Source organism: Homo sapiens, chromosome 6 (assembly GCF_000001405.40).
Source record: "Homo sapiens chromosome 6, GRCh38.p14 Primary Assembly".
Classification (NCBI taxonomy): Eukaryota; Metazoa; Chordata; class Mammalia; order Primates; family Hominidae; genus Homo; species Homo sapiens.
This window is the reverse complement of record NC_000006.12, coordinates 42,657,751-42,677,133: the sequence shown is the minus strand read 5'-3', so window position 1 is coordinate 42,677,133 and position 19,383 is coordinate 42,657,751. Positions and strand designations below refer to the sequence as shown.

The following is a 19,383-nucleotide window of genomic DNA, read 5'->3' as shown; positions in this document are numbered from 1 at the left end:
CTGCCAGATCCCTGAGCAAATGAAGGGTTCCACAGCCAAATAAATGTGGGAAGCTCTGCATATTATCACCTTTCTCCCAGATTTCCAATTATGTTAGTATATGAATAGTTCAGAAAGGCTCTGCAGATCACTCCACGTCTTATTTTAAAAACATGTCAACAGACAACAAATTCCCCTAATTAACAAACGAATTCCTTTCTCATGCTATCATCATCTAGCAATATTTAGGGAAATGCGTTATGTAAAGATAACTAACTCACCTTCCCGTATACTGGTGAAGTGTTTTATACAAAGCAAGAACTGCTGATTCTTCTTCACAAGGGGGATTTTCTTGATCCATGCCATTCTCTTCTGAAAGATAAGGAAATACTAGTACTCTGTATTTTCCAATTAAGTGTTATCAAAAGGACTGAAGACATTAAGCATGCAAATATATTCATAAACTCACATATAACATGAAGTATTCCTAGAAAACATGCAAAATTGTAATCCCTCAAGTGGGAGCACAGTATTGATCTCAATCAAACCAAACAGCCAGCTGGCATGTTTTAAGTAAAATCAAATAAATATAGTCTTAAAGTGTATGAAAAACAAGAATTTTGAATGCAAAACGTAATTTAATGATGAATTCATGTGGGCATTAACAAACATGTAAGTTAAAACAAAATTGGCATTCTAAAACATAAGATTCTAAAAGATTTAATTACTATTCTACACAAATATTACTGAATGTATGAAATTAAAACTAGAAACATTCACATTACTAGGAAATTTTAAGAGGAGAAAGAAATGTTTCAAAACTTTTCATATGAAGATACACAGAAAAAAACAGCCTTATTCATGTGTTATTCTCATCCAAATACCTTTTCCTCTAATACTTTTTTTAAAACTCAGAAAACTCAAGTATTTCCTTCAAGAAACTGACAAAAAGGCAAGAGTTACCTGTACATGAGGTAAGTAAGATCTGTATGATGTGTGCCATAGTAACCAGATGGAAAATGTGAAGGTCTCCAGTGCCAAGGCTGATCCCTGAAAAATCCTGACACTGCAACGCAGGAAATGCAAGCACCAAGCCCACCTAGGCACCAAACACAGGACATCAGACAGATCGCCTTTCCTTTCACAGCTAAGCAAATTTCCATCTTCTTACTTTTACTTTTATTTTGATTTTTTTTTTGAGACAGAGTCTTACTCTGTTGCCCAGGCTGGAGTGCAATGGCGCAACCTCGGTTCACTGCAACATCCACCTCCTGGGTTCAAGCGATTCTCCTGCCTCAGCCTCCTGAGTAGCTGGGATTACAGGCGTGCAACATCATGCCCGACTTTTTGTATTTTTAGTAGAGATGAGGTTTTGCCACGTTGGCCAGGCTGGTCTCGAACTCCTGACCTCAGGTAATCCGCCCACCTCGGCCTCCCAAAGTGCTGGGATTACAGGCGTGAGCCACCGCGCCTGGTCACATTTCCATTTTCTTACTGTGATCCCTCCTGAGTTCAGCTCCTCCCTTTAAGAAATCTTTGTTCTTAAAGAAAGGGCATCCATGTTGGAAAATCCAATAGGACTGGCTACATGAAATGACTTGAGTTACAGGACTCTTGATGGGCACTATGATTTCATTAATCCAGTGGGTCCTCTATACATAGCTTATTGTTAACAAAAACAGTATCTGAACTCTCTCCAGGACTGTAGGCAGTTGAAAAAACATGGGTTTTGGACCCATAAATATCTAGATATGAATCCTACCTCCTCCTCTTATGAGCTGTTTTACACAAATTAATATCTCTGATCAGGCCTCAGTTTCCCTATTGGTAAACTAAAGACAATATGTTACATGTAAATTGTAGAGATGTAAGTGTGAACGTATGTAAAAGCTGGCAGGTACACAAATGCTAGCTCTGTTGGCCTCCTGCTGTCTGCATGGCAGTATAAGTGGTGGTGGTTTTAGTTGCAGCAATGAGAACAGTAATAGCCGCATTTATTAGGAATATATTGCTCTAAGTGTGTTACATGGATTAACTCACTGAGTTCTGACATAGTCATATAAAGTAGGTACTAACCAACTTAAAGGGGCAGAATCTGAGGTCCAGAGAATAAAGGCACAGCACTCGGGGCTGCTGGGTGTGGCAGTACACTCTGTACCCTGTGCAAGGGAACCCAGTTGAGGTAGGGCTGAAATTTGGCTACCCACTATTTGGACAGCTGTGTGTCTTAGCACTAGGATGTCCTGGCTCAGAGGACATACCTTTCCCTGAATTATAAGGGGCTCTCTGCTGCTAAGTAGTGTGACCACAGGGCTGTATCTGCCAGATTTTCGAAAATGTACAAAAGCACTGTATGGGCCAGCAGCAGTGCTTCTGTTGCTGTTTTTTTTTTTTTGGATGGGGTCTTGCTCTGTCATCCAGGCTGGAGTGCAGTCATGCAATCTTGGTCACTGCAACCTCCGCCTCCTGGGTTCAAGTGATTCTCCTGTCTCACTTTCCTGAGTAGCTGAGATTACAGGCATGTGCCACCACGCCCAGCTAATTTTTTGTATTTTTAGTAGAGATAGGGTTTCACCATGTTGGCAAGGCTGCTCTCAAACTCCTGACCTCAAGTGATCTGGGGTGAGCCTCGCAAAGTGCTGGGATTACAGGCATGAGTCACCACACCTGACCCGTTGCTGGTGTTTTTATCTCTTTACAGGTTAAAAGCACAGAGAGGTTAAAATACTAACCTCAGCCATAAAGCAAAATAAGAGTCAGAGGACGTCTCGATAACCAGGTCAAGTCTCTCAACTAGGTTCCTAAATATTTTCTTTTTGAGGTTTCTCATAAAAGAATTATACTCAGAAGGGGTAAGGAAATCACATAACTCCTTCCTGTCTGCCACTACACTGCTCACCAAACCTAAGGTAAAGTTACATAGTATGACGTAGAAGTCCAAACAAACTGCACAATACCCACCAATAAATGAAACATGTCAATATCTAATATGCATGGAAGTTCCTCATGGCTGTCATTAGGCACCAGTGCTACAGATTTAAAGAGAAATACATTAGCATATTTCATATGCCAACATGTTAAAATGCATATAATCTGCTTTAAATTTATCTTCTTGCAAGACACATGAGAATTTATAAGCTAGAGCTTATATATAAGAAAACCAGTACTACTAAATATTTAATTCATTACTGAGAGAAGCTGTACCATTAAAAACAAAATTTCAGAGGATGAAAAATTACAACATGTTATAAATGTATTAATACTCACATGCAAAAAGTTTACAAAAATGTCCTTGCACCACTGAAACTGATGCCACTGTCCAGTGTGCTGCGGCAAATCTCGTCAATGACCTAAGACAGTCATCCTAAAATAAACCAACGCAATTAACAAAAAACAAAAATGCAAAGCAGTTCTCTTTCAGGAATGCTAGTTCAGAGCACAGCTGGATGCACAATGAAACTGCTCTAGATGGTATGGAACTAGATCTATGACATCTCAATGACATGCCTCTAACACAGGATAAATGGAATGGGAAATGTCTAAGTGTGTGCTGAATAAATGAAATCTATCTCTTTGCCACCATGTTGCTGGTTTTCTCTGGAAAAGAAAAGAATATAGAATATACGCATCTGACAGAAAGCAAGGGACACTCCCAAGATGCCAGTGCAGGCCGGGTGTGGTGGCTCACACCTGTAATCCCAGCTACTCGAGAGGCTGAGGAAGGAGAATCACTTGAACCCTGGAGGCAGAGGTTGCAGTGAGCTGAGATCACACCACTGCACTCCAGCCTGGAAAACAGAGCGAGACTCTATCTCAAAAAACAAATAAACAAGCCAAGATGCGGATGCAGTATTTCTCTATGTTTATCCTAAACAGATACCCTAAAACACATATCTCTTATGTTTATCCTAAAGAGATCCTCTAAAATGTGGATACTCTTCCGTAAAATGTAGAGTATCCTAAAGAGATACTCCAAATATTGGGGAAACTGTCTAAGAAGATGGTGGTACAAATGAGGGTGCCTGCAGCTATTAAAAATTGTTATGAGGACTAAGTAGCAGTAATAAGAAAACTCTTGATTTAAAGAATACAGCAGAAACAAAGCTACATGTGAGTACCAATTGTAATCAAGCATAAATATGCTAATGGAAAAAGATGGGTATGTGATAAGTTGATGACTTTTTTCTTCCTGCTTGTTTTTTCATTTTCCAAATTTTCTGTAATGTTTGGTTCAATAAATATTGAGGTCCTACTATATACACTAGGTCTTGGTTCTGAAGATCTTCAAATAAAACCCATTCTCCCCCTCCTGCTCTCAAAGAGCTTAAAGTCCTGGGGTGGGAAAGGAAGAAAGTGGGGAAGGAGGCAGGCATCACAGATGAGAGGTCTCTAACTCACAGTACATGGTTCAGAGGGCTTTCTAAGGGAAGGGAAAGCTTGAACAGCATCTGAAAGAGTAGCAGTCTGCTTAGGGTACTCTAGGCAGAGGAAATGGAATGTGCAAAGGCATGGGAACTAGCATTGAGGAACTGGCAGTGATTCTACAAGTCTGGACCACAGGGGTGGGAACTGGCAGGAGGTGATAATGGAGAAATAGGTTAAGAAGTTTGTAAAAGTATGAAGAATATGAACAGGATTGCTTTTGAGGAGCCCCTCTAATAACGTATTAGAGAAGAGTGAGATTCTGGGTAAAAACTGCTATGATAATCTAGGCAAGAAATAATATGGGGCTGAACCAAACAAGTAGAAGAAGGAATGGTGAGAATTTGTCAGACTCTGCTGACCAACTGAATGTGAATGCCCAGGCTAAAAAATGTATCTAGGCCGGGAATGGTGGCTCATGCCTGCAATCTCAGCATTTTGGGAGGCCGAGATGGGCAGATCACCTGAGGTCAGGAGTTTGAGACCAGCCTGGCCAACATGGTGAAACCCCATCTCTACTAAAAACGCAAAAATTAGCTGGGCACGGTGGCATGCACCTGTAATCCCAGCTACTCGGGAGGCTGAGACAGGAGAGTCGCTTGAACCCAGGATGCAGAGGCTGCAGTGGGCCGAGATTGTGCCATTGCACTCCAGTCTGAGCAACAGAGTGAGACTCCATCTCAAAAAAAAAAGACTTCAATTTTCTGGTTTCTCCTGGATGAATAGTGGTGAAATTAACTAAAACAGGGACTATAGGAAGAAAAATTAATTTGGATTGAATTTTAGGTATGTGTAGGAGATCCAGGTTAAAAAAATAGGCAGAGATAACCTACACCTAAGATAAAGATCTGGGTTGGAGATACACAGGTGGGGATCATTTGGATATAACTGAAATCAGAGGCATAGATGGGGCTGACCAGGGAAGAGTATTAGATGGCAGAACTCTGGAGGTTTAAAAATGACAACTGCAGGATGGAGGAGGGAGAGTGGGCTGAGAGGCAGGAGCCACAGAGGCAGAAAGAAAGCCAAGAGTGTCACAGAAATTAAGGGAAAATTGAGTTTCAGAATGAAGAAGGAATGGAGAGAAATAAAAGTTTCAGAATGAGCAATTAAGTAGAGGTTTCAAAGACAAGGGCTAAAAAATGCCCACGCAAAATGATAATCAGGAGATCATTTGGTGAACTTGGAAAGAGATATTTCATAGAAGTCAGAAAGTGTTAGAAGTGGAGCCAAACTGCAGGAGTTGAAATATGAATGGTTAGCAAGAAAGTGGAGCTAGAATATACATTCTTCTGCTTCTTCTTCTTCTTTTTTTTTTTTTTAAAGATAGGATCTTGTGCTGTTGCACAGCCTAGAGTACAGGGGCACAATCATGGCTCACTGCAGCCTCAACCTCCCCAGCTCCAGTGATCTTCCCAACTCAGCCTCTTAAGTAGTTGGGACCACAGGTACATGCCACGCCACCACTCCTAGCCAATTTTAAAATTTGTGTAGAGATGAGGTCTCACTATACTGCCAGGCTGCAATTTTTTTTTTTTTTTTTTTTTGAGATGGAGTTTCACTCTTGTTGCCCAGGCTGGAGTGCAATGGCACAATCTCAGCTCACCGCAACCTCTGCCTCCCGGGTTCAAGCGATTGTCTTGCCTCTGCCTCCTGAGTAGCTGGGACTATAGGCATGCGCCACCACGCCTGGCTAATTTTGTGTTTTTAGTAGAGACGAGGTTTCTCCATGTTGGTCAGGCTGGTCTTAAACTCCCGACCTCAGGTGATCCTCCTGCCTCGGCCTCCCAAAGTGCTGGGATTACAGGCGTGGGCCACTGCGCCCGGCCTCCTGAAGTTTATTTAAAAGAAAGATTAAACCACAAACATTACTTTTTAATATCCTTACAGAAAATGGGTTTTTACTACGAAAGAAGTGAAGGTGTAAGTAACTACTGCAGGTCCATAAGATTAAAAGCAGCAGAACCACCTAATTTCCATGCCCCACTATCATGAACTGAATAAACTGAGAACTTACCAGTCTGCAAGGTAAAGGACCAAACAATGGTTTATCTTCATCACTCAAAATTCTTTCTACAGATTAAAGATGGTTAAAATGGTAAATGTTATGTTATGTATATTTTAATATAATTTTCTTAAAAAGGTTAAAAAAACCCCAATCCTACAGAAAGTACAATATTGTCAAGTTTCAGAATCTTCAAAGTCATTTCACAAGAATTAAATTTGGTTACAAAGTAAAAACGAACAGTACATTCCTTCAACTGACAAGAAGCTATAACCACCACCACCAAGAGTTCTCTGTTGCTGTGGTTAATTTATGAACTATCAATCTAGTATTTTGTCAGTACATTACATTTCTTGCTTCTAAGTCTTTTTATTATTTCTTCACGTTGTTACCCACTTCAAACATTTCATTTAAAAACAAGATTCTATGCCTAATTCATATCAATGAATGCTTGTGACTTATAGAGAAACAGCTGTAAATCTCTTACCTATGCTTTGGATGGTGTACGCGCAGCTACCCCAACACATTATGGGAACACGAGGATCCTCTTCATTGGGATGAACCTTTAGTCCCACCTTGTAGGTAGCAGTTCCAAATGTCGTTAGCATTTCTTTTATGCTCTCAGAATAAGGGATCCTGAAGTAAACATGTATAAAATTAGCTCAGAACAATGTGCACATATCAATCAAATGGTTCGGTTTCTTAACAGCTCTTTGCTATATTGAAATTGAACCACTTAACATATATCCAGAGATAATTGTATGCAGTGATCAGAGATAATGCAAACTGCCCCTGCCCAAGAGGAGTTAGACTCTTTGACTTAGCAGGGGTGAGGCACAGGGCTGAAAACAGGGTGCTGGGCACAAGCCTACACACTACACAATGAGATCCTTGACCCTGTTTCCCATCCTGAGAACATCAGCAATGTATACCCACTTCCACAGAGATTAGTTTTTCCAGTGAACAATCCTCAGGGGAAAGTTGTTTTTACACAGACATTCGGGGGTCACCAAGCAAAAGACTGGAGGTGTCCTGATCACCTTATTGTGAGGCTTACAAGTCAGCAAGCTCCAACCTGTCCACCAGGTATCCTTATGCTCATTGCCTTATGCTTAAATAGTTATCCAAGGACTAATAAACATTTAAGGAAAGCATCAAAGAGATAAACCAAAACAAAGGAGCAGAGAAACAGAACTCAGGGAAAACAGAGACAATGTAGAAAGCAAAAAAAATCATAAGAAAATTAGGTTATCAGTTCAAGAGGGGCAACAGTGAGCTAACAGAACTACCTCAAAGAAGAAAATCCAAGAGAAAATTATTTAAGAAACAACATAAAAAATTCTCAGAAATGAAGGACATGAATGTTCAGATTCAATAGGTTTACTGAACGCCTAGCAAAATGAATAAAAAAAGATTCATATACCAAGAAATATCATAGAAAATTTCGGAACACTGAAGAGATAAAGAGAGTATCTTACAGTTTTCAGAAGTAACAGAGTTACAAGCCTGGGTGCGGTGGCTCAGCATGTAATCCTAGCACTTTGGGAGGCCAGGGTGGGTGAATCACTTGAGGTCAGGAGTTCGAGACCAGCCTGGCCAACATGGTAAAACCCTGTCTCCACTAAAAATACAAAAAATGAGTGGGACATGGTGGTGCATGCCTGTAGTCCCAGCTACTTGGAAGGCTGAGGCATGAGAATCCCTTGAACCTGGGTGGCAGAGGTTGCAGTGAGCTGAGATCGTGCCACTGCACTCCATCCTGGGTGACAAGAACAACACTCTGTCTCAAAAAAGAAAAAAAAAAAGTAGTAATAGAAAATAGAAGTAATAGTATAGTAATAGAGTTATAAAGGAACCAGGCATGGTGGCTCACACTTGTAATCCCAACTACTCAGGAGGCTGAGGCGGGAGGATCGCTTGAGCCCAGGAGTTCAAGGCCAACCTGGACAACATAGAACCTGTCTCTAAAAAAGTTAAAAAAAATGAGGCTGAGTGCAGTGGCTGATGACTGTAATTGCAGCACTTTGGGAGGCCGAGGTGGGTGGATCATCTGAGGTCAGGAGTTTGAGACCAGTCTGGCCAAGATGGGGTGAAACCCTGTCTCTACTAAAAATACAAAAATTAGCCAGGTGTGGCAGCTCATGTCTGTAATCCCAGCTACTTGGGAGGCTGAGACAGGAGAATCGCTTGAATCCGGGATGCAGAGGTTGCAGTGAACTGAGATTGTGCCACTGCACTCTAGCCTGGATGACAGAGTGAGAACCTGTCTCAAAAAAACAAAAATTTACAAAGGAACAAGAATTAGAATGGGAATAATTTCTCAATGGATTAGAATTTAGTAAAATAATGCCTTCAAAATCTAGATAAAAAGTTACTTCTACCCTAGAATTCTACACCCAAACTATCAATTGAGCATATGAATAAAATAAACATATTTTCGAACATGAAAATATACCATCCAGGTATCCTTTCTTAGGAATCTGCAAAAAGAGTCAAGTACTTAAGAAAGAGGAAGATACTCAATCCAGAAAATAAGAGGAGCAGGGCCAAGAGAAGTGACAGCTGTGCCCCCTCCTGACTGTAGGAGAACAGAGGCTGTGTAGGGGAAGGAGGGACCTAGCAACAGAAGATCATCGGACAGATCTGAGCACTTAGAAAAGTTGTTAGGAGGCCAGGTGTGGTGGCTCATGCCTGTAATCCCAGCACTTTGGGAGGCTGAGGCGGGTGGATCACCTGAGGTCAGGAGTTTGAGACCAGCCTGGGCAACATGGAGAAACCCCACCTCTACTAAAAATGCAAAAATCAGTCGGGCATGGTAGTGCATGCCTGTAATCCCAGCTACTTGGGAGGCTGAGGCAGGAGAATTGTTTGAACCCGGGAGGGGAGGCTGCAGGGAGCTGAGATCACGCCACTGCACTCCAGCCTGGGTGACAGAGTGAGACTCTGTCTCAAAAAAAAAAAAAAAGAAAAAGTTGTTAGACATTGGATAGATCTACTGCACCATTCAGAAAAAAAAAAAAAAATACATAGAAAACAAGTACATGAAAAAGACAAGGTAATTATTAACTATAAGAAAGACAAAACTGAGCCTGGGCGACAGCACGAGATTCCATCTCAAAAAAAAAAAAAAAAAAAAAAAAGACAAAACTGTACAAGAAAGGAAATATAATTCTAATACGCAACTTGTATCAGCAGAAACACAGTTATTATAATGTAAAAACTGACAACTAGATTTAACCAAAAATTGTGGAATAATTTACCAGTCAACAGTGAAGATACTGTCTAATTAGAAATATGGAAGTAAACACTAGAAGTGACAAATAAAATGACAGGACTGGGGGAGTGTGGCAGACAGAAGATTGAAGTTTTTTCTTTTTCTTTTTTTTTTTTTTGAGATAGGGTCTTGGTCTGTCGCCCAGGCTGGAGAGCAGTGGCATGATCTTGGCTCATTGCAACCTCTGCCTCCCAAGTTCAAGCGATTCTCCTGCCTCAGCCCCCCAAGTAGCTGGGATTACAAGCGTGCACCACCACGCCTGGCTAATTTTTGTATTTTTAGTAGAGACAGGGTTTCATCATGTTGGCTAGACTGGTCTTGAATTCCTGACCTCAAGTGATCTGCCCGCCATGGCCTCCCAAAGTCCTGGGATTATAGGCATGATGTTTTTTTCTATTCAAGTCTTTAGGTCTGTATTTATTGAGTTACTTGGTACATGCCAGGCACAGCTTTCAGGTAGCTCTACGTACATTATGTCACTTTATCCTAATAACACCTATGAATTATCCTCACTTGACAGATGAGGGAATTGAGGTACACAGAGGTCAAGCAATTTGCCCAAAGTTGCACAGCTAATAAGTGGTGGTGCTGGGAACTGAATCAACCAGTCTAGCTCCAGAATCTATGCTATACCTTGTAACTAACTGGCTATGGGGTAAAATAGGGTGGAAAATATTCTGGTTTTAATCCTGGGTTACTAAGAGCTTGGTTAGGTCATTAATAGAAATTTTGAAGTCAGACGGAAGTGCGGGATTCATTGGGGAGGCTGAGCAGTTTGTATTTAGAATTACTGATTAGATGTTGTCAAGGAGAGCCAGGTAAAGAAAGGGGTGTGGCAGGGGTCAGCAATGCTGACTAGGAGAGGGTGGTGAGAGTTAAACATGCCACATGGTTCTTAGATTTTTTTAATGTACTGCAATAAATACCATCAAGTAATGCTTAAACTTTTTTTGTTGTTGTTGTTGAGACAGGGTCTCACTCTGTCACCCAGACTGGAATGTAGTGGTGCAATGAAGGCTCACTGCAGCCTCCACCTCTGGGGCTCACACTATCCTCCTGTCTCAGCCTCTGCTTAAACCTTACAACTAAAGATCAGTATCCTATAACATTTTGCTCCCTCACTTGCCAAATCATATTCCTCCTAACTGCTGACTTAATCATTCATTTCAAATGGGTCAAATATTAAAGGAGTAAAATAATATACTCACTTAGGACGAAAATCAGGCCTGAACCCTTCAGGGAGCTGTAATTCATCCACATTTTCTGAATTCTTTGTAGAGGCATTATCTATAGAAACAGGCATTTTATACTATTATTCAATAGATGACAATATTCCTAAAAGTACAGCCATATAGGTCAAAGAAATCAAAAACAAAAGGAAAAAAATTCCCTAATAAAAACTGGCATAACAACCATATGAAGCATGAAAACGTTATTGCTCTAGTTGACCAAGGCCCTTTCTTAACTATGCTTTTCCTTATAGTACAGCCACTAAAACAAAAACAAGAGTAGCTATTCTGTTTCTATGAAAACCAATGATATAAATCCTGTTCATACTACGTTCCCACAAGGTCATAAGTGCAGTGCATGGTCTATGAAACTTGGGAAGCCTTTGGTAATGCCAACAGTAAGGTGAGTTAGCCCACCGAGAACTAAAGCTAGCTCTGCAACACTCAGTTACATCTCCCCCACCTCCAGAAGCTCTTCAATAAAATGGGGGAATAAGTGAGAAGTGTTTATTAGAAACTTCACATGAGCTTGTGTGTTTAAGGAATAAGGAGTAATGCAGTAAAGTCAAATTTAGTTTATTAAGACAAGGAAAATTAGAATGAGTCAAAATTTTAAATGGGAGGTTTCACTTTTAAACAACTTCTTCTGGAAATACATTTTCTGATGACCTCGGACTTTAGGGAAAAATGAAAACAGGTTACCAGAACTTACTAGGAGTACTTTCTTCTTTCCTAAGAAACTGTAATGCTTTTATTTGCTGAGATATTGTTCTAATCCACTGAGTCAGATTTGGTTGGTCTGAAAAATTTAACCTGCTAGAAAAGATTATAGAGAGTATTTAGTGTTTTATTATTGTTCCTTAAGATACAAAAGACTCCTTAAATGATCACAGGCATATTTTAGACACACTCCAAATATTAAAAACAAAAAGGATAAGGGAAAATTTGTTGCATTAAAAAAAATCAGGATATTGGCCAATGGAAAGGAATATATTATTTGTCAATATGATGGTAATAACACTGTGTATTAAAAATCTCACTCTTCAGTATTGGAATTTGCTAGAATTTCTTAAGTATCATAATCACCATCACTATTAATATCTACCAAGTGCTTATTATGTTACAAGCACTTAGTAAGGAATTTTACTGTAAATATCTTATGGTATTAGACTTAATCCTCAAAATATCCCTACATTTTGTTTCAGGTTGTATTATTATTTGCATAGGTTGTATTCCTATATTTTGTAATAGGTTTTATTATTGTCCCCATTTTACAGATGAGGAAACTGAGGTTTAGAGCTATGTAACTTGACTAAGGCCGAATAAGGGACAAAGCTAGCATTCAAACTTGGCTCTGTCAGATTCCAAAGCCTGTGTTCTTTTTATGATTGTATTCGAATATGACTAAACCATAATTGAATCTCATGGGCAAAACCCAAAAATTGGACCAATAAAGTGACAGATGAAATCCAACAAGGGTGATTTCTTCTTATACACAGTTAATCCTCCATCTAACAATAATTAATTTCTTCATCAGTTCAAATGCAGATAAGTCAGTACCACGATATTCTTTTATAATTAAAAAGCATGAGCTTACACTCAAATCTACTAATATTTTAAGAACATTTTGTGGTAGCATAGACTAAGAACACCAAAGTTTGAACTCCTAAAACTGACAAGAAAAAACTGACTTTGCTTTGAACTGAATCCAAATAACACAGAAATGGATCGTTTATACTCACATAACTTAGTATTTGTGCATGCAACGTAGATAGCATAATTCTACATTGAGAAATGAAGTTCAGATTCGAAAAGCAGACATTATCAAATTCATACTCGAAATGAGTATGTCCAATACTCGTAACTAAAAGCATCCAAAAAACTGTGAAGTTACAGAAATTTTCCATTTTCTTTTCTTATTTTTTTTTAGTCTGCTAGACAAATTCTAAAAGAGCTAAAAATATGGAACACTTCATGAATTTGTGTGTCATCCTTGTGAAAGAGCCATGCTTATCTTCTCTTTATCGTTCCAATTTTAGTATATGTGCTGCTGAAGCAAGCACTTATTTTATTTTTGAGACAGGGTCTTGCTCTGTCACTCAGGCTGAAGTGCAATGGCATGATCAAAGCTCACTGCAGCCTTGACCCAAGCGAGCCTCCCACCTGAGTCTCTGAAGTAGCTGGGACTATAGGAATATGCCGCTACATCCAGCTAACTTTTTATTTTTTGTACAGACAGGGTCTCACTATGTTGCCCAGGCTGGTCTTGAACTCCTGGGCTCAAATGATCCTTTCATCTTGGCCTCTCAAAGTGCTAGGATTATAGATGTGAGCCACAACGCCCAGCTGAGATTTTTCCATTTAAAATATACCAACAGATTTTCACTTTTTTGCCTGGTTCTTAAAACTATGAATGGCCAGTACAGCAAAAAGTTTTATTCGATTTTTAGACTGTCCTATAAAGTCAGTTTGAGTTGTTCCATCTCCCTCTACCAGTTTACTGAGCATCTCTTGAAAAGTGTATGGAAGATATTAAAAGTAGGGTCCCTAGAAATAAACCAGATACTTGGTTTTCATAAATACATAGGAATTTAATAGCTTAGAAACTGTTAAATTTTCACCTGTTCCTCTCTAAAAACTAAAATCACATTCCACAGGTCTGCTAGAAGAAAATGATTAGAGTTTGGAAAGTATCTGGAAAACACTATGCAATTGCCTAGACTAAGTTTTCCTCCTTGATTTATTATTTCATTATCTTCAAAGCAAACTATTGCTTTGTAATAGTTGTCATGAGCCAAAACTTACTTGTTAAAAATATTTCTTGGAGGAAGCAGCAGAGGAATAACAGTATTACTCAAGCATTCACAAAGGGGGCAAAGGAATTCTCCGTTTTCTACATCATAGCTCGTATGTAAGCGTAATCTCTGTTGCCTTCGCTGTTCTTTAGCTTGAACGGAATCAAAATACCTTTACAATTAGAGAACATGAGGTATCAAAACAATGGTAATTTACATAAATGACAGCCATAAGCTTCAACATTTAAAATAATTTGTTTCCACAAATAGTTCAAAAATGAAAATCTTAAACTAAATTATTTTTAACATGATTTTTGAGTGATTTTAAAAATCCAAATGGATTAAAAGTTCTAAAAGAGTAAAATAAAAAAAAAGACTGCCATGTAAAAAAGCATTCACAAAGCAGCAACAAAAATTTCTTGGTGTCATTGTTCTCTTGCCACTTCCCCAAGGCTGGTGGCTATTTGTTTTTTTTTTGTTGTTGTTGTTGTTTTTGAGATGGAGTCTTGCTCTGTCGCCCAGGCTGGAGTGCAGTTGCACAATCTTGGTTCACTGCAACCTCCACCTCCCACATTCAAGCAATTCTCCTGTCTCAGCCTCCCAAGTAGCTGGGACTACAATGTGGTGGCTAGTTGTTAGGGGTAGTTCATGATAACTGGGTGAGCATAGTTCTAGAATAATAGTATTATTGATTTGTTGGTTTTGTAGAAGCATAGGAAACACCAAGGTAGAACAAATTCAGGACATCTCATCACAGGGAGCCATTACAATTTTGGGAAGTAACAAAGCAAGTACTAACATCTATGGAATCAAAAGTTGTCCACCCTGGACCCAAAGAAAGACAACATTACCCTTCTAGAGTTTATCCTACTGTAAAAACCCTTTTCTTCATCCACAGACTGATACAGATCCACTTCCTTCTTTGGAAGATATAGAAGAGACTTGGATATAAAGCTAAATTAAAAAACATATCTGACATACACTTTACATCTATGACAAGGCAAATAACTTTTGTTATTTATTAGGCAATGATACGGATTTTTTCAACATTTTTAGTTCTTTTCCTTTTTTCTAGAATGAAATTTCCTCTATTTAAAAAATATTGAGCCCTTAGATAAACTTCTCTTGACAAATATTAAGAATATACATTACCTTTGCCAACAATGGGCATGCATAATGTGCCCACAGCTACTAGTGTGTGTTCCACAAGACAGATCAGGGTGCATGAATAATGGATCATATTTTTCTGCATTACAAAACAAAACAAAACAAAACAAAAGTGAAGCATTTAATTTTCCTATAACAAATGTGTAACTTTAAATTGTAAAATCCTTGATAAAGACTTGAAATTTGAAATGAAATGCTAGTTTATTCCTCTGAGATACCAATTTATGCAACACCTTGGATTATTTAGAAAGTAGGACTCTCTAATTTTCACCACCCACAGCAAATTAATTAAACATTCTCAAATTGTTAAACTGAAATTAGAACTATGAATTTAAATATATCCAATCTTTTGAACATTTCACACTTTCAGGGTGCTGAGATATTCCAATTCCTCCCATTGTACCCTGAGCTCCAGGTAAAAGAGCTACTCTCTTCATGGGGCTGCCTTATGTGCGTTCAGGGCAGCTGGGTTAAAATGATCGCTAATAAAAAATGTTTTGGCAGTAACGGGGCGCCCCCTAGAGGACAGACTGCCTAACAACACTCATACAGCGAATAATCACATCAGAGCCAAAGTGACAACAAAAAATCTAAGCACAGACCAGATCAGATGGGGGGAAAAAAGGTAATTCAGAGTCTTCTGTCCTGGTGCTAATTTTTATATTCAAAGGGGATGAAAAATCATGAAAAACAAGATGGATGTCTGGCTTCTTTTGGAATTTTTGAATTCTTTATATAAATTAGTATAATCTTCGAAATTTCCTAACACTCTAGAAAGAACTACTTTTAATTTGCTTTAATAGTTTTAATTTGCTTTAACACTAGAACAGTGCAAATGTCAAAGCATTAAGAAAATCCACTTATAGCCAGCTAATGCTTTTTCTTCAGAAGTAATAAGTTAAATAAAATTAGCAACTTTGTCTTTGGCCTGGAATGAAATTTATAAAGCACCTAGTTTAAATATCTTTTTTTTTTTTAAGACAGTCTCGCTTTGTCGCCCAGATTGGAGTGCAGTGGCGCGATCTCGACTCACTGCAAGCTCTGCTTCCTGGGTTCACGCCATTCTCCTGCCTCAGCCTCCCGAGTAGCAGGTAACTGCCACCACGCCTGGCTAATTTTTTTTTGTATTTTTTAGTAGAGATGGGGTTTCACTGTGTTAGCCAGGATGGTCTTGATCTCCTGACCTTGTGATCTGCCTGCCTTGGCCTCCCAGAGTGCTGGGATTACAGACATGAGCCACTGCGCCTGGCCTTTTTTTTTTTTTTTAAAAACAAACAAACAAACAAACAAAAAAACCACACAGGGTCTCGCTCCGTTGCCCAGGCTGGAGGGCAGTGGTGCAATCTCGGCTCACTGCAACCTCTGCCTCCCAGGTTCAAGCAATTCTCATGCCTCAGCCTCTTGAGTAGCTGGGACTACAGGCGCGTGCCACCAAATTTGGCTAGTTTTTTTTTTGTACTATTAGTAGAGATGGGGTTTCGCCATGTTGGCCAGGCTGGTCTTGAACTCCTGACCTCAGGTGATCCACCTGCCTCGGCCTCCCAAAGTGCTGGGATTACAGGCATGAGCCACCATACCCAGCCTAAATGACCATTTTTAAAGATGAAGCAGACCAACCTTTCATAAGTAGGATGCAAAGACTTTCTTTACAGAGAGAAGGCAACTCTAAAAGTGGGCTCTCAAACCTCCTTTCACGCTGCAGTGTGAAAGGCACTGGTTAAAGCAGTGCTCTGGGAATTCCCAAGACACAGTTCCTACTCTCAAGAAGTTTACTGGGTATCGCTGAAGCACACGCACACAGAGCACAACCTACAAGCAGAGAAATAAATGTGTCTGTGGTGGACAAAATCATGTGCGGACTGGATCTCCCTGCTTTACTCCCTCAGTTGCTGAAAGAGGGCCCTCAACTGTCCTGCACGGTAATCTGTATCCCAAGAATCTGCTTTCTGGGGAACCCGATCTGTGGTGGTATTACTATTCTAAAACAATTTGGCTCAAGGATTGCCTCTTACATAGGTAACTCTCCATCACTGTTCTCAGGAGATTCCACTCAGGCTCTATCAATAAGACAAAACAATTATTATTTCAGTGTGTCAACAAATGACCAGGACTTTGCAAGTGTACTGAAGGATGGAAAAGACTGTGAAATGCCAAAGTATGTAATGTTACATCACAAAGAAAAGCTTTTCTTTGAATCCCTGCTATTTATCAGCTATGTGATTCAGGTGCAACTTTCTGGAGTGGTTCCACATCTGCCAAGTGGGGAATTCCTGCCTAAGTTACCTGCCAAAGATACCATCCAAGTCCATGGAGTTATTTTTAGGTTTAAAAAATCTCAACGTATCACCAACCACATTAACTGGCAGTTGTTATTAAAAGGGAAGATGAGGATCTAGCTATGACTTACCTGGATCTTGAATAAATTTACTTCTGTTTTTTGATAATACAGTTGATCTCTGAACAAATGCTGCCAAGACCATTGCCCTGCTTTCCACTTTAACTTCTTGCTCCTCTTGACACAATATACATGTAACGAATTGTCTTTGTTCAGGAACCTGAGTTTGTGCGGGGCCCAGTGCTGTAAGTGTCATATCTGAAGCCACAGGGCTGCAATACAAAGGTTATGAATATAATTAATGATCCCAAAACTTTCTATATAATCACAAAATAGCAGACTACAGGTATGTGTGTGTGTGTGTAGTGTGTGTGTGTGTGTGTGTGTGTGTGTGTGTGTGTGTGTGTATATATATTTATTTATTTTTTGAGACAGAGTCTTGCTCTGTCACCCAGGCTGGGGTGAGTGGCACAATCTTGGCTCACTGCAACCTCCGCCTCGCAGGTTCAAGCAATTCTCCTGACTCAGCCTCCTGAGTAGCTGGGATTATAGGCATGCACCACCACACCCGGCTAATTTTTTTTTTTTGTATTTTTAGTAGAGATGGGGTTTCACCATGTTGGTCAGGCTGGTCTCGAACTCCTCACCTTGTGATCCGCCCGCCTTGGCCTCCCGAAGTGCTGGGATTACAGGCGTGAGCCACCACGCACAGCCAGGAATGTATATATTTAACACATGGTTTTGATAACTTGGATTGTCAAGTCTTTGGTATGTATCAAAACCATCTCCTTTAATCCTCACAGTAATCTAATCTTCAACACAGATGTCATACGCTCTAGGTAACTGAGTGTAGTGTACTCATTCTTTCATGAATGTCCAAGGTCTTCTGCAGAAAATACCCTACCAGGTGTACACAGGACTTACCATACCTACATTCAGAGACTTCTAAGATTAAATCTTCTAAATGGAGGTCACAAAATTTACCTATGAATTCTACTAAATTACTTTAGGATTAAAAGTATACTTACAAGGAGAAAACGCAACACTGCCCCTAGTTGGGAAAAACTCGTCAAGACATTAATTTTTTTTTTTTTTTTTTTTACCTATGATCAAGAACAGCAGAGGTTGAGGCATCCAGTTCTAATGTCTGCTGAAAGAGTTCTTTGTTTTCATCAATAAAATGCCGCTGCATTTCAGACATCTGAGCCATGATCTTTTCTCTGCGCAGTCTGGCAATCTCTGCTTTTCTCTTCCTCTCAGCTTTGTCTTTGTCCCTTGAACTCTGAAATTATGCTCCATTCAATTAGACAATTAGATGCTAAAACGCACATTTTTTTCCAAAGCAGAAATATCTTCACTGTAAATACCAATTAAAAAACTATTCTATAATCTCACTTATTTAAATAAGAGAAAAGACTCTTAAACTGACTTGTTTTAAAGAAAAAAAGCAGACAAAAAATTGCTACAACAAATAGAGATAAATAGTGGCATATTTCTTGGAATTTAAATGTTGTGAGTAACTGGCAACTTAATGTAGATAAATTTATTTTGTTCATACTGAACTTGCTGTAATTTTTTAGTATTATCACACTTTTTACTGTTTATACCTCTTCCATTATGGTTCCTTCTGTCTCTGCCACGGGACTGGTAGGTGAACTCTCCCTCATCTTTTTAACAGCATTAAAAGTCTACAAAAAAAAAAGTATCAGTATCCTGTATGAAATATGATCACAATGTACACATAACAAATATTCAATATTTCTCACAAAAAGCAGAGGAATGTGGAAATTTTACCTTCAATATCCACCGAATCATGTCTTTGTGGACTTCTAGGTAGGGAGCATTTTGTAGTGTTTCCAGCATAGCTAGTATGCTAGGAGAATTTTTTGGCGCTTCACCAGGTTCTACGGCAGAAAAATAAAAGGCACAATAACAATAGCTAATACTTCATAGTACTTATTCCTACGCACAGGAACATAAATGCAGTTGCTTATAACACCTATTGCCCATAATTTGATTATGGCTCTACCAAAATAGAGATTTTCAATACTTCTTGAGAATGTGACATATTTGTCTTTTACAAACAAGTTGCCAACAACTAGAATTCTTTAAGGATTCAAAAGTGACTTTTTATAGCAAATGATTATTTTAACATCCCTTTAGCAAAATTACATACA

At 39.2% G+C, this 19,383-nt stretch overlaps 1 protein-coding gene and 1 pseudogene across 10 annotated transcripts in view; both read right to left on the bottom strand.

Annotated features, from left to right (window-relative positions):
* UBR2 (ubiquitin protein ligase E3 component n-recognin 2) overlaps nucleotides 1-19,383 on the bottom strand; it is a 129,477-nt gene that overhangs the window by 16,372 nt on the left and 93,722 nt on the right. For 8 of the 10 annotated variants that reach the window (XM_017010594.2, XM_011514438.3, NM_015255.3 and 5 more), the window contains 14 exons: nucleotides 19,001-19,110; nucleotides 18,814-18,894; nucleotides 18,310-18,488; nucleotides 17,279-17,478; nucleotides 14,857-14,950; nucleotides 13,715-13,876; nucleotides 11,622-11,725; nucleotides 10,889-10,967; nucleotides 6,894-7,042; nucleotides 6,419-6,474; nucleotides 3,247-3,343; nucleotides 2,941-3,008; nucleotides 943-1,078; nucleotides 261-351 (listed from right to left, as the gene is read on the bottom strand). In XM_017010594.2, the coding sequence (XP_016866083.1) occupies nucleotides 261-351; nucleotides 943-1,078; nucleotides 2,941-3,008; nucleotides 3,247-3,343; nucleotides 6,419-6,474; nucleotides 6,894-7,042; nucleotides 10,889-10,967; nucleotides 11,622-11,725; nucleotides 13,715-13,876; nucleotides 14,857-14,950; nucleotides 17,279-17,478; nucleotides 18,310-18,488; nucleotides 18,814-18,894; nucleotides 19,001-19,110 (1,606 nt within the window). Of the gene's footprint in view, nucleotides 1-260; nucleotides 352-942; nucleotides 1,079-2,940; nucleotides 3,009-3,246; nucleotides 3,344-6,418; nucleotides 6,475-6,893; nucleotides 7,043-10,887; nucleotides 10,968-11,621; nucleotides 11,726-13,714; nucleotides 13,877-14,856; nucleotides 14,951-17,278; nucleotides 17,479-18,309; nucleotides 18,489-18,813; nucleotides 18,895-19,000; nucleotides 19,111-19,383 lie in introns of those variants that run through there. The other 2 variants (XM_017010597.2, XM_047418494.1) reach the window with 2 other exon arrangements.
* On the bottom strand, nucleotides 12,867-12,972 carry RNU6-890P (RNA, U6 small nuclear 890, pseudogene; annotated as a pseudogene).